Source organism: Homo sapiens, chromosome 5 (genome assembly GCF_000001405.40).
Source record: "Homo sapiens chromosome 5, GRCh38.p14 Primary Assembly".
Taxonomy (NCBI): domain Eukaryota; kingdom Metazoa; phylum Chordata; class Mammalia; order Primates; family Hominidae; genus Homo; species Homo sapiens.
The window spans coordinates 62,578,506-62,593,777 of record NC_000005.10 but is presented as its reverse complement, the minus strand read 5'-3'; the positions used below and the strand labels follow the sequence as shown (position 1 = coordinate 62,593,777).

General features: G+C 36.7%; 2 protein-coding genes and 1 long non-coding RNA gene across 4 annotated transcripts in view; all 3 read right to left on the bottom strand.

Annotated features, from left to right (window-relative positions):
• Positions 1 to 15,043, bottom strand: part of IPO11-LRRC70 (IPO11-LRRC70 readthrough) — a 49,855-nt gene extending 34,812 nt beyond the window's left edge. Inside the window, exons 1-2 of the long non-coding RNA NR_073584.1 lie at positions 14,843 to 15,043; positions 2,106 to 2,201 (exon numbers count right to left, since the gene is read on the bottom strand). This is a non-coding gene — a long non-coding RNA (IPO11-LRRC70 readthrough). The remainder of the gene's footprint in view (positions 1 to 2,105; positions 2,202 to 14,842) is intronic.
• IPO11 (importin 11) overlaps positions 1 to 15,272 on the bottom strand; it is a 215,820-nt gene that overhangs the window by 34,805 nt on the left and 165,743 nt on the right. For both annotated transcript variants that reach the window (NM_016338.5, NM_001134779.2), the window contains exon 28: positions 2,106 to 2,201. In NM_016338.5, coding sequence (NP_057422.3) covers positions 2,106 to 2,201 — 96 coding nt within the window. The remainder of the gene's footprint in view (positions 1 to 2,105; positions 2,202 to 15,272) is intronic.
• On the bottom strand, positions 12,332 to 14,959 carry LRRC70 (leucine rich repeat containing 70). The gene is made up of 2 exons (NM_181506.5): positions 14,843 to 14,959; positions 12,332 to 14,377 (listed from the first exon to the last, which is right to left on the bottom strand). The coding sequence occupies exon 2, from the start codon at positions 14,337 to 14,339 to the stop codon at positions 12,471 to 12,473; it is 1,869 nt and encodes a 622-aa protein (NP_852607.3). The 5' UTR covers positions 14,340 to 14,377; positions 14,843 to 14,959; the 3' UTR covers positions 12,332 to 12,470.

The window sequence follows — 15,272 nt, the reverse complement described above, 5'->3', positions numbered from 1 at the left end:
ATATGCAAAGTACCACCCCAGAATAAAAAGAAATCACCAAACAATTCTGGGGATAAAAGAAACCAGTGGTCAGATATGTTCCAGCTACTCATCAATACTAATGCTCAAGTCTAGGCCTTTTAGCTGGGATCCTAAAACTGGTTTGTTTTCCTTACTTCCAACATATTCCCTCTTCCAAAACAAAACTTTTTCTTCATGGCTGAGCTTGGCACATGGAGACCTTGACTCATCTTGACTCTTCCACAAATCTGCTGTGTCACTCCACTTTTTTTGTTGTTGTTGTTATTTTTAGTAGAGATAAGGGTTTCCCCATGTTGGCCAGGCTGGTCTCGAATTCCAGACCTCAAGCAATTTGCCTGCCTCAGTCTCTCAAAGTGCTGGGATTACAGGCAGGAGCCACTGTGCCCAGCTAACTTTTCAGGGCCTGGATATCCTGATTTTTAATTCCATGAGACTGCACTAGATAATTTCTAAATTTTCTAGTAACTTTCAGATTCTTACCTCTTCCAGTTAAAACATGTTATAATTTTGTTCTACTTCCTACATCCTAACCCTTATCCTTCCCTGAAGACTGTAACATATAGTGCCTTTTTTTCTTTCCCTGACTATTAAAGCAAAATCTAGAACTGTACTGTTTGGTGTGCCCTGCACAAAACAAGATATAACTGTCTGCATTCATCACTAGTGTTTTAACTGTGCTATCAGCCATGTCCTCCCCTCAACTAAACTGTATACTCCAAAGAGGACAAAGGAACATCTGATCATATCCTAAATGTTTCACATTGAGTTGTAAACTTTGTCACATATTAAGTATACAATTTACAGTCGTGTGCCATTGATATCTTTTGGCTGTGTCCCCACCCAAATCTCATCTTGAATTGAATTCCCATAATCCCCATGTGTCATGGGAGGGACCCAGCTGGAGGTAACTGAATCATGGGGGCGATTACCCTCATGCTGTTCTCGTGCTTGTGAGTGAGCTCCCACGAGATCAGATGGTTTCATAAGGGGTTTTTCCCCTTTTGCACAGCACTTCTCCTTCCTGCCGCCACGTGAAAAAGGACATGTTTGCTTCCCCTTCTGCCATGACAGTAGGTTTCCTGAGGCCTCCCCAGCCCTGCGAAACTGTGAGTTAAATTAAACCTCTTTCCTTTATAAATTACCCAGTCTCAGGCAGTTCTTTATAGCAGCGTGAGAATGGACTAATACAGCCATAAACCCTTACATTAACTTAAAAAGAAAAAAACCTGCCTACATTGAATGCTTTCTTGTTTTTGGTTTGTAGTCTCAAAAAATTTGATGTTTCCACTTCATACAAACTCCAGTTTTCTCAAAAGCTAAGTGACATATCAGACACATTATGTTAATATGTTTAATAAGATTCAACAACATATATCTGCTATCCATATTTTTCAACAAAATATGATTCAAGTGACAATCTTTCCCATTTGCTAGAGATGGCTTTATAAACAGCAAAACTGAAAAAAAAAGAGCATGCTCAGAACATACTAGGAAAAAGACTTATAGACTAAAATATATTTGAAATTTTAAAAACTTAATCATCAAACAATGAGTAAATCAAAGCAGCTCAATTCAGGTTGTCGCTGTAACATAATAAAGCTGATACCAGCCGGGCATGGTGGCTCATGCCTGTAATCCCAGCACTTTGGGAGGCAGAGGCAGGCAGATCACTTGAGGTCGGGAGTTCAAGACCACCCTGACCAACATGGAGAAACCCCGTCTCTACTAAAAATACAAAAAGTAGCCAGGTGTGGTGGTGCATGCCTGTAATCTCAGCTACTCGGGAAGCTAAGGCAAGAGAATCACTTGAACCTGGGAGGCGGAGGTTGCGGTTAGCTGAGATCGCACCACTGCACTCCATCTTGGACCACAAGAGTGAAACTCCGTCTCAATAAATAAATAAATAAGGTGATACCAAGATCAAACAATAAATATTACAAGCAAAATAACAAAAACGTTTCTGTATAAAAGAGAAATTATAAAACTTTCATACTGTGCTTATAGAGTGATGGTGAAAAAAATCATGCAGCATGTATTTAATTATCCCCCAAGTCCAATTATGATTAATTAAATAATGCACCTACTCTTTATAAGTTCCTGTTTCAGGATCTTCCGTCATGACATCATGCAGGCCTTCTACTGAAATGTTTATAATCCCACAGAATTTATCTTGGATAACACTAGAATAAAAGAAAAGCAAAACAGGTTAACTGGAATACTAGATTAATTCTTTTTGTTTTTTTTTTCCTAAACATCTTCTCGAACATGAAGAGAAATTTCAGCTGTGAAATACAAAAGAAACTTTCAAAATCTATTTCTTATAACAAAAAGTTTATCTTTGCCTATAACATCACAAAATTCTTTTTCACTAATTAGTATGTTTAAATACTAGATGGATAGATTCGATAGTAAAGGAATATTTTAATATTCTTAGATTTATAACAGTCTTATGTTACTTATATAACTACAAAGATAAAGACATAGAGTATTGACAAGTAAAAATTTCTGCTCTTCTAATGACACTGTGAAGAAAAAAGACATGCCAAATTCTGGAAGAAAATATTTGTAAAACAAGTATCTGGTAATGGACTTGAATCTAGGATGTAAAAAGAACTCTGAAAACACAATAAGATGAAAAATAATTTCAATTTAAAATAGGCATCAGGTGCAGTGGTGCAAGCCTATAGTCCTAGCTACTTGGGAGGCTGTGGCAGGAGAATCTCTTGAGGCCAGGAGTTCAAGACTGCAGTGCAATATGATCACACTTGGGAACAGCCACTGCTCTCCAGCCTGGACAACACAGAGAGACCTGTCTCTTAAAAGAAACAGAACAAAAACATTTTTTTTTAAAAAGGCAAAAACATGAACAGACATTTCACCAAAGAAGATACACAGATGGCATGTGAGCATCCTAAAAGGATGCTCAAAATCATTAGGCATTAGGGAAATTCAAATTAAATTGCAATGAAATTTTAAAAAATTTAGTGTTTTTTAAATTTTTATACATTAAGGAGGTAAATCTATAAAAGTGCAGACTTTACAGACTTTTATAACGTCCAAGAAGGAAAACAGGCAGGCAGTAACACAGACAAAATTTTCAATTAACTTTTCAAAATAGTTATCTAAGCTAAAATTAATGATGCAACACTTTTTAATAATAGCAATCCCAAGACAGAAATGAATCACAACCTTAATCACCTTAGAATTTTCTCAGATCCAACCAGACCATAATTACGCTATTTATACATGGTACCTAATTAATATTTAAAGTCATTCTTGCATTATTACATTTTAAATACAGGAAGTAGGTCAAGTTAGGGTAATTTAAGAGACTAAACAAGTTTTTAGGCACTAAAACCCACAACCAAATAAAATATTCCCTTAACTGTATTTATCTGCTTATATCATCCAACAGGGTTAAGTAAAGAACAACAATTTATTGAAATAGCCAAAGGAAGAAACAAGCCCTGATTTATTAGTTTTAATCCAGAATTTCTACAACAGTAGAGACTGTAACAGTGGTAACATTAAAAAAAAATAGTTTTCCACTTTCCCTACCAGAGGAGGAAGAGCTGACAACTGGAACAGCCCCTGAGCAAGGAACAAACTTAGCTGAAAGCTGCTACAATTGGCAAGTAATAAAGACTGAGATGGTGGAGTGTCCCCACAGCTGCTAGCGGCTAAAGCCAAGACTGAAATCCAGAACTTTATACTGACCAAACCCAGAAGGCAGTGCTCCAGGCTTGACTGGAGACGACTTCGACCTTACTGTGCTGAGAAACTGCTTTCAGAGGGCTTCCACTGAGCCCACAGCTCATCTTTTGGAAGAAGTCATCTCTAGCTACTCTCAGTTTCTAGGCTTCCCAGGACTCCCGTCAGCCTACCGCAATGCAGCTTTTGACCCTACTACTCCATGGACAGATGACATCAATTTTTGAATCTAGGGGCCACACTTCAGTCTATCTCATGAGATATCTCTGCTGGGTGGACACCATTGGTCTCCCCCTCTTCTGGTCACTCTTGTTCTCTGGCACAGACTTCTCCTCTAGGGGGCCCTTCAGCATCATTATTGCCCAGGGCAGTAAAAAGAACCACATAAGGGAGTATGATTGTTGGTGAGGAGCCAAGATCACTCCACATCAGAAGAGATGGTAGCAGCCTGAAATGGTTTGGTGGACATGGGAATAAAGAGAAAGGGGTAGGTTTGACAGATGTTTAATGGGTAAGCATCACAGGATTTGGCAACTAATTTGGCTATGAAAGATAAATGGGAGGAAAGAGTCTAGGATGACTGTTGGGTTTCATCTTGGGTGGGTGACTTGACTAGGTTGGTGACTTCGGCTCAATCCAATAGGGGATACAAAGAGAGCAAAGACATAAGAAGGAAGATGATGAAAGTGGTATCCCAGAAGATGAGAGGGTGACCAACATCACCAAAAGTCAAGTAATCAGATAAATCAGGTTCTAAGCTGAGGAAGGGGAGTGACAATTCTTTCAAGAAGCTTGTCCAGGGAGGGAAACAATAGGGTAATAACTAGAGGGAGTGCAGGGTTGAAGGGGTGTTTTTTGGCTGAGGGAAATGGACCAGTAGAGGCTGAACAGCTGAAAGTACAGGTGCCAAAGGGGTGGCTGAAGGAGCAGGATCCCAGAGATGGGATGAAGTGGGATCATAACAGAGGCAGGGCTAAACACAAGGATATCTTCGTACATGAGGCAGCAGGACACAGATGTACACACTCCCTTGGAGGCACACAGTGGGAAGCAGAAGTTCCTGCATTTTGAATTTTCCTCCCTCTGTGAATTAGAAGGTGAGGTTATGTATTAGGCACGTGGGTGAGTAAGCAGTTGGAGCCAAGTGGTCAATGTTTGTAATAGAGGGCCTTGACCAAAGACAAAAAGATTGCTCAATGGCAGTGAGGTCCAACTGCAGTTGAATGCCCTAGATTTGTAACAGCCCCGATCTGTACACTTCTATCATTTTTAGTTGCTATATTTTACACCCTAAGCAGATATACATATGGAGAAATTGAGTCAGGCAATTCAGGCTTGGAAGCTTGCAAAGCTGGTAGAGTTTGAGGATGCGGGGTTTAAAGAGCTGAGGGTATGAATGAGAAGTCTGAGTTGACCACAGGGCATCTGTTGGGTCAGGTAGAGAATGGGGTTAAAAGTGGAAAAAACAAACGAAAGAAAACCCCATAACACCAAGTGCAAACATCAAAGTTTATGCCAGGCATGGCGGCTCACGCCTATAATTCCAGCACTTCGGGAGGCTGAGGTGGAAGAGTCACTTAAAGCCAGGAGTTCAAGACTAGCCTAGGCAACAAAGTGAGACCCTTGTCTCTACAAAAAAGAAGAAAATTAGCTGGGGGCAGTGGTGCACGCCTGTAGTCCCAGCTACTCAGTCCCAGCTGAGATATAAAGATGATCGCTTGAGGCCAGGAGTTCAAGGCTGCAGTGAACCATGATGGCACCACTACACTCCAGCATGGGTGACAAAGCAAGACACTGTACATTAAAAAAAAAAAAAAGTTTAGTGGTAGAGAGTAAGAAAACTGGAAAATGTGAAGTTATAATAAGACAGGATATTAGAGTTTTGAGCATGATCACAAGGGAGGAATGTGTGGTTGAAGTGGAAGTGCATACAGATTTGAAAAACATCAAGTCCAACTGTAAGGCCATGCTTGAAAACATTCAGGGTGGCAGAATTTGGGATGAAGACTGCAAAGCAGATTCGAGGCCTCAGTGACTCCTGCATAGTGATTGTGAAATTGCTAGAGAACACACAGAGCTGGTGAAGTAACCAGATGGCAGAGGCCTTCTGATCCCTCCCAGACCTCATGAAAGTGGCTGAAACTGTGGTCAGCATCAGGGCCTCAAATTGTCGCTCCACCAGTGACTAGCTACACGGCCTTGGGCAAGTCAATTTAACCTCTCTGTGCCTCACTTGCCTTATCAGTAACATGGAGGCATAATAGTATCCACAAGGAAAGTGCTTATAACAAGGCCTGCCACATGTACCAGAGCACTACTTAAATGTCAGCATCATCACCATTTCTCATTTGAACAATGAGGGGGTTAACAGTCTCTAAATCTCTTAAACTTTTTCATGTCAGTATCCTTTTACATTCTTAAAAATTGTTAAAGATACCAAAGAACTTTTTAAAGAATGTATTATAACTCAATATTTTTTATATTAGAAAACTGGGAAAATACTTTAAAAATACTTATTCACTTAAAAATGTAATAAACCCATTACCTAGTTAAAAAAAAAAAGTTTTCCCCTATAGATATTTTCCAGGATACAGCCTGCAAATACTTTTGTCGTTTAAATGGAAACATACATCCTTTCTACACAGTAATTCTGCATGGTCATGGAAAAGTATATTAATAAATCTAGCTCCCCTGAAAAATACTGGCAAGAAAATAAGCTAAAAAACCATAGTGGAAATTCACTATCTTAAAGTGAAAGTTGAATTTTTTTTGCATTCAATAATGATCCTTACAAAGGCTTTTATCTACTAAACCATTCCCCTGCTTACCTGTCTTTTCATTTTTTGAGTGCACACACACACACAGCAGTGTCGCCCTCCTCCAACAAAACCATTATCTTCAAGACTACAAGGAATAACTAAAAGGATCTATATGTCATGGCATGAGAAGAAACTGCCATCCTGTGTGATTTTGCTATAAAAAACAATGCCCAATGAAGACATACTAAGCTTCCATGAAAAGGAGATGATTAAGGGCTGGTACAGAACTGTCTGGAAAAAAAAAAAATTCAGCTGAATAAAAACACTTGGTTTGAATAGTTACTTAAAAAGTCACTTGACAGAATTATTTTTTTCAAGTGATAAAAGGAATTTATCAGAGAATTGGTAATTATGGAGCTAGCACCATTGTAGATATCGGAAACTGATGAAAATAAAGCTATACATAATTACAAGGTAATCATGAATATATATATATATATATATATATATATATATATTTTTTTTTTTTTTTTTGGAGACTGAGTTTTGCTCTTGTTGCCCAGGCTGGGGTGCAATGGCGTGATCTCAGCTCACCACAATCTCCACCTCCTGGGTTCAAATGATTCTCCTGCCTCAGCCTCCTGAGTAGCTGGGAATACACGCATGTGCCACCATGCTCAGCTAATTCTGTATTTTTAGTAGAGATGGGGTTTCTTCATGTCCGTCAGGCTGGTCTCGAACTCCCGACCTCAGGTGATGAAGATATATTTTAAGAACAAATCAAAAAGGCCAACTCTGTTCATGTTACCAAAGTTATTTGAAAAGGTAATTGTAGCTTGGGATTAAATTCCTGGAAAAGTCTTGTATGCCACACAGCTCAGATCAAAATGAAGATAAAATACTCTGGAAAACAGTGTTACATGATCAAAGGGAATTTTGACTGATAATGATGAAGACACCAATGTCAAAGTTTGCAAGAAGCATTTGAATAACATTGTATCATGAATAAAAGAAAAAATATTTCTAAAGCAAAATTTCACATTTAAAAATACATATGTGTAATTAAACTAACAACTTCATATAAACACGTTTACTGTTTTGTTACAGCTTTCTAATAATAATGTATTACAGTTGACCAAAAAACTTTATGCTCAATGACCTTTCTCTAAGCTCTGTAACCCTAAGTACACTGGCATCTTTCTCATTCACTCTTGGCACTCTCACAATCATCTCAAAATTAAGAGATCCAACACCAAACTTATGAGTGCCTCCCCAACAAAAACAAGGAAACCAAAAACAGAGAATCAAAACCAGGTTCTCTTCCTGTTTTCCTTATCTGAGTAAAAAGCATCTCTATCAACCCAGTGACTCATGCTAGAAACCAGGAATTCAGTTTTGACCTTCCTTCTCATTTACCCTTCCATTTACTCAATTCATCAACAAATTCTGTCAAATTTATCTCTGAAATTTTTCCTTGTTTCTACTCCTCTATATTCCTACTATTAACACTGTGCAACAAGCCAATTTTGTCTTGAGTTTAAACTACTGCCTACCTTTCCAAAACAAGGAAACTTCCACTCCTGACTTCCTCTAATCTGTTCTCTATACGGCACACTAGAAGGCTTTTACAAAATCTAGTATCTTTTCCTTGCTTTAAAGCAAAAGTTTATACCTTTCAGTAACTTTCCATTACACTTAAAAATCCAAACCCTTAATCCTAGTTTACTCAGCCCTATATATGACCTGGTTCCTGCCCAGCTCTCTGACCTTACCTAGCCTCACATTGTTCTCCACCTTCACAGGCTATCTTTGATTAACACTTTCTAGTTTCCGGGCTTTCACAGGGGGCTTTCCATCTGCTAGGAATTGTATGGCCTGGATTTACCTGGTCAGTAGCATTTATAATAAGACTACAAATACAACAACAACACTGCAGGTATGGTCCTGATTCTAGACAATGGTGTTAAAGGATGCTTTCATAGATGAGAAGCAGGTAACTGAGGATAAGGGAGTTTTGAAAGCCAAAGCTTGAGGAAACTGCACTACAACATAAAAACGTTTGCTCCTCAGAGTCTCAGACAAAAATACCAACTTATGTATTAAGTTGTGTATCATAGAAAATATATGGAAAAAAGCAATAAGGTTGCCCAAAGCCAAAGATACATACTAACAACAGGCTAGGGTTTATGTGCATGTACCGAAAACTCCACAGACATGGAAGAAATGGAGACCAAAGAAAACAGGAAGACAACATATATACGTAAGGTCTCCACATTATTCAGGATAAGAAAACTACCTTCTACTAAATTAAAATGTCCTCTATCACAAGGTATCTTGGAATTGAGTCAGAAGCAATGAAACAAGGCACATCTGGGCCAGCAGCAGGTGTACTATACATTCTTCTCTCTCATACTGCTTTCTCCAACATTTCTCTTTTAACCTACCAGGCTTCCCACATTAAAAGTGTGCGGCCACACAAGCTTATCAGCTTCAGCAAAGTGATGACCAGTGGTAGTGGGCACTTAAAAAAAAAAAACAAAAACAAAAAACAAAACAAAAAAAGCTATGCTTCAGACAGTACAGCACTAGTATAGAAAAAAAAAATGCCTATTACCTTGTTACTATTGCTGTGACCTGCTCCTATTTCCTTTTTTTTTTTTTTTTTTTTTTTTTTGAGGCACAGTTTTGCTCTGTCATCCAGGCTGGAGTGCAGTGGTGTGATCACAGCTCACAGCAACCTCCTCCCGCTGGGCTCAAGCAATCCTCACACCTCAGCCTCCTGAGTAGCTAGGACTACGGGCACAGGCCACCACACCCAGATTTATTTTTTATTTTTATTTTTGGTATTTTTGGTAGAGATGGGGTTTCACCATATTGCCCAGGCTGGTCTCGAATTCCTGAGCTCAAGTGATCCACCTTCCTCAGCCTTCCAAAAGTGCTGGGATCACTGGTGTGAATCACCGTGCCCAGCCTCTCCTATCTCCTGATCACTACTATTGAAGTCTCTGTCCCATCACCACTGAAGCCCTCATCAATAGCTTGACACCAAACGTATCTACTCCACTGACAGGAAGAGGTTGAGAGTAAGTTCTCAGTTTTACATCCCAGAAATAAGAGATATGTTTTTAAAATTCCACATTGGAATTATAAATTTAAAAGTTATATGCTTTTAATTTATAGTTTATAAATAAATACTATTGATTTCTAATATTGGTCATTTGTTATGAGGGGAAAACAAATTACTTTCGATATGCCCTGCAACTTTAATTACAATTTGTAATACTCAATGGAAAAAATGGATTCTATTCTTCCTCAGACACAGTCACATTAAATTAGAGCCTATTTTTGGGTGCTCTAATCAAGAACTTTTAATAAATGGTAGAGATAAGAACCTGTAGTAAATGGTAGAGAAATACAGAAATCTTAAGAAAGGTGAGCTTCCTTAGCTATATTAATTTAGAATATCATTTAGTTTTAACTTAGGGCTGCTCAAAATGTGAAACAATGAAATACAGAAATTGTACCCAAGAAAATTATTATGCCTGTAACACTTCAATTATACCTTAAATAAGTTTTTTAACTGTACAACTACCAAACAACGGTGAAATATGAGCTGGCTAACATTTTTCAAGGGGGTAGCTACTTACTCCAGCTCTCTTTTGATTAGTAAAAAAAGAAAAATTTTTTAAAAGGAAATAGCTGACAAAGACTGAAATGAACATTTAATGAATACCACTGTATAGAACTATGGCTCCATATATAAATTGATATTAATATAATTGGTTTTCTAGTTGAGTCTAAATCAATTAGAAGCTATACTTTCAAAAAGCAAAAATTTTGATAGATTTTCTGAACTGCCTTTTTTGAATTTAGGAATTTTAAGATAAAAATACTTTGTTATATAAATTTTCCTGAACTTCACATAGCCAGCTGTGTTGCTTGTGAACATCTTTAAGAGGGTACGGTTTAGGTGGTAAGGAAGGGAGGCATGGAGAAGTTTTCAGCCTACCTTATGTATTTCTGCACTGTTTAAATTTTTTCCCAATGAACAAGTACTTTTAGTAATTAAAGAAAAAACATAATTGGATTTGTAGGAGTTGGGAGGATACAACAAAGAAAAAAATACATTATTAAAAATGTCTCTCAAGGTGAACAAAAAGATTGCTCTTCCATAACAAAACAAATTACTTAGGAAAAATAATGTTTATTTAAATATATTCACATTTTCTGCTGAAATTATAATCCCCAAAAAGGCATTCAGCTAAGCAGGGAAAAGCAAACCATTGTTTGAAAACCCTTTGGGGTTGGTGGGGCTTTATTTATGCAATTTCTAATATATCTTAAAATTACTTTTCAGCTCCTTTCTGATTTTCTCTCAAATATATTAAGAAAAAATTTTAAATACATATTTGTGGTTCAGGTCACTATTAACTAACCAACAAGCATAGGCACTTACTATAATCCCTAATATTCTGCAGTACAAATATTCTGCAAGTACAAATTTTTGCTAATAAAGAAAACCATTATATTACTTCTATGACTTCAATTACCATCTATATTAAAGATTCTTAATCAAGGGCACTAATATCTCCTAGGGACTCTCTCAACTTCTACAAGGTCTTATTCTTCCCCACTTACCTATCTCCCAAAACCACAGCTTAAATGGTTATTGTTACTGTAAAGGGTGCATCATACATTTCCAGTGTACTGGACAGATGAAAGTTTAAGAAATATTGGCCTTTACCATAAGACCTCGCTTCTGAATTTCTGCATGATATATATTTCCATGTGGAGATCTAATAAGAACCTCAGATTCAATCTGTCTAAAACTGACTCATTATTTTGCCCCACCCCTTTTCTTTCCCTAGCTTAGTGAATACAGCACAAAACTGCCTAAGCCAAAAACCTAACATCTTTGACTTCTCCCTCCCCTGCCACGCCTCAACCAATCACCAAGGCAGTTCATTTTACTTTCAAAGTACCTCTGGATCCATCCATCCTTTTTGCCAGTATCCTGGCCCAGGCCTCTAGCATCTTTCCCCTGGATTAGCAATTCAGATTCCTACTCACCTAATTCTGGCTCCGGTTTTATTGTTCCTTCCAGAAAGAGGGAAATTTCTAAAGGGTAAATCTAATCATTTCACTCTACTGCTTAAAAATCCTTCAATGGCTCTCTGTTGCCCTCAAGATAAAGCATGTAACTATAAAGCTTTCATCACCTGATCTCTCTTTCGGGCTTTAAATCGCACACCATCATTCACGACACCAGCTGTACTGAATTTTAGTTCCTGAAAAGCAGCAGGTTTTCTTCTGTTAACCCCTCTGACACGATGTTACTCAGCTCTCTTCACTGGGCTAATTTCTATTTATTCTTCGTGATCCAGTTTTGATGTCACTTTCTTCATAAAGCCATCTCTCACCTCCACAAATGTTATACTCAACAGCATCTCCAAGTACAGTACTTATCATCGCACTGTGCAGTAACCATATATCTCCTCCTCTAAATTTCAAGCTCTACCTAGAATAAGAACCACGTCTATTTTTTTCATATCACAATCCTAGAACCAAAGCAGCAATATAGTATAAAACTGAAAGCATGAACTCTAGTCAGAGAGGCCCAAAAAGTGTTACAAGCTGTGAGAATTTGGCATAGTTACTTAAACTTTAAGTTTCCTCACCTGTAAAGTATAAATAGTGCCACCTTTCAAGACTATTCACAGATTAAATGTGAAATGTGAAATATTTGGCACAGTGCTTGATACACAGAAATGTTAGCTATTATTACTTAATACAGTATATATCAAAGAAAATATTTGCTAAATGAATACACTGTTCACAAATTATTAAAAACATATTTTAATAATGCTAACCTCATATAATTCATTATATTTCCAACTAAAGTATATAATTATATAAGGAGGTTTCAGTTTAAATCATGTCCATGGCACTGAAGTTTCTTATAGACAATATTTAGTTGAGTTATAAAGCAGAATGTTCAAAAAGAATGACCTGTGCCTCATTTTCAGGAACAATTTGTTTATGAAGTCGAATCTGCTCCAAGCCAGGACTTTCTAGAGAATTTGGGGAAGTGTTACAAATTGAGGCAGTTACATTATACCTTGCTGACTGATAAAAGCTGTAGTATTCAAGTCTATTTTCCCTTGAGTTTTCTGATGCCTTTAGTTTTTGTTTAAACTGAACAACTTTGTAGATCAAAAAAATGATTAAAACACAAGCTAAGATGAAAAAAGCTAGCAAAATGTCAAAAGCCTCATTCAACTTCTCAACTTCTTGTGTACAAATTAGAGATGTTTTCCCTGACATTGAAGCAGCATCATTCGGTAGAGCACTGTTTTTTTCCAAGTTCAAGGTAACAGAAGTAGTAAGTTGTATTTGCACAGGTAACACTGCTGTAGTCTCTAATGGATTACCAAAGGCATTCTCTTGAAAAAATCTACCAGCAGGTGAAGTAGGAATTCGTTCCCAGAAAGTAATGTTCTCAGTCTCAGTATTTTCCAGAGGACTGCCATTTGTGGTTACTTTATGCCAGGCCATCATTAGCGCAGTAGTCTTGTGATGAATATGAGGAGATTTTACAACAGCCCAAGCTCTGGATACATTTATTGAAGATGTAACACAATTTGTAATGTTAATATAACGTAATGCTCTGCCACGCATGGATGGGGGATTCTGACAATAGATGTTTAGAGTAATGGCTGAAGATGCTAGCCAGTCTCGAAGGCCCAAAAGTTTGCAGTTACATTCCCAAGGATTAGAATTTGCCTGAAGATGAATCAATGAAGACAACGGCTTAAGGACCCTTGGATGCAAGGCTGTAAGATTATTAAATGACAGATTAAGGATCTTCAAAGATGCTCCCATATTTTCAAATGTATCATTATCAATGCTAATTATTCTGTTTCTATCTAACTTAAGGTAAATTAAATTCTTTAACAAACTGAATGTGTCAGAATTTAAATTCTCTAAATCATTATGACTTAAGATCAAATGTTTAAGATTATTAATTCCACTAAACCCATCCCTAGTAACATTCCTAATTCTTGAATTTTTCAGGAGGAGGTATTCCAGATTGGCAAGTCCTTTAAATGCAAAGGGCTGTATTGCTTCAATAGGATTATGAGACAAAGAAAGTCTTCTAAGACTTTTAAGTACTTCAAAGGCATTTGATGGTACTTTTGTTAAATTATTACTTCCTAAATACAAACAAGCAAGGTTTTCAAGATGTTGAAAGCCTGATTCTGATATCCTCAAAATGTTATTGTTTGATAAATCAAGTATCCGAAGAGCAACCATACCAACAAAGGTACCACTCCCAAGGACAGTGAGGCGATTCCTTTGTAGATTTAAGTACTGAACTGAAACTAGATCATTAAATACTCCTCTCGGAACAAAAGATACCTGATTATACTGTAAATATAAATTACGAAGATTTAAAAGTCCCTTAAATATTCCAGGATCTAAGCGTTTGATGAAATTATTATTTAGAAATAGAAAATATAGATGCCTCAATTGAACAAAGGCTTTTGGATATACATACAGAATGTTAGAATTATCCAAATACAATGCTACAAGAGAATGAAGTCCTGTTAATTCACTTTCATTTATATAAGATATATTATTCCCAGTCAGATACAGAAAAACTGTACTTTCAGGAAAATTCTTAGGAATACTCGAAAGGCCTAAGTTACGGCAGTTAATTTGTCTCCCAGTGCAGAGCTGACAAACAGACGAACATCCAAGTATTTCTTTGTGGAGTAATAATAAAAGATAACAGGTAACAACCAGAAACAGTCGTAGGCAAGGCAGAGAAAACTGTAATCCACACATATCCCTGTTCTTGGATTTTCTGTTCAGATCAGAATTGGCTATAAAAAGAGAAGGTAAAGCTTTAAATCACGAAAACTTCATCAAATGAATTTTTTTTATAATACTATAACTTCTGTATTCTATTTTAATTAGGATCAGCCAATAATACTATCATAAATCATACCATGGTAATAGCAAAAAATAATGAGTATGGAATACGTTCTAGAATTATTAACATGATCAGGCCATTAACCCACTATTTGACAAAATAGTTCAGATTAATGAAACATTTGCTAAGTTAACTTAAAAATTACAATTGATTACAACACAGGTGACAAATGATGTAGGAATGAGAATCTTTGAATTTAATATGTCCCTTTAACAACATAAAGTCTAATATCAAATAACATTATAATTTATGAAAATACAAATTCACTACAGAACAATTAAATTCTAAATTACAGTTTTTCACAGAACTATTTTTCATGTCAGCTAGAAGTTCATATTTAAGTAAATAATCTTACCAAGAAAAGGAAATTCGTATTATTAACACTCAGCTGATTCAGTAAAGGTTTTCTTTTTAAATCTGAAGAACGACATTTCTTAACTCCAGTTTGTTCTGTGGCACTGCTGACCTCCACCCCACCACTTTTTTTTTTTTTTTTTTAAGTCACCGTTTGCTCAGGAAACACCACTCTTCACATTGGTTCCTTTACAGTCAATGTGTAAAACAGAGGTTGCCATGGATACAGGAAGCTAAGAGACAGGAAGTAATTTTATCTGTGTTTCAAAAGTATTGCTGAACGGAAATCTCAGGAACTTATTTTTTCAGAATGCAGTTAGAGTTTTCCTAATATACACATTGAAATATCTCCTATAATATAAAAATAATAGTTTTTAAAGGATACTTGAAAACATTAGTTATTCAGAACCCAAATATCAATCAACAGACTC

What these genes read in the sequence shown, in the direction of transcription:
- LRRC70 (NM_181506.5), bottom strand. Translation starts at nt 14,339, where the DNA reads ATGTGTGGATTACAGTTTTCTCTGCCTTGCCTACGACTGTTTCTGGTT.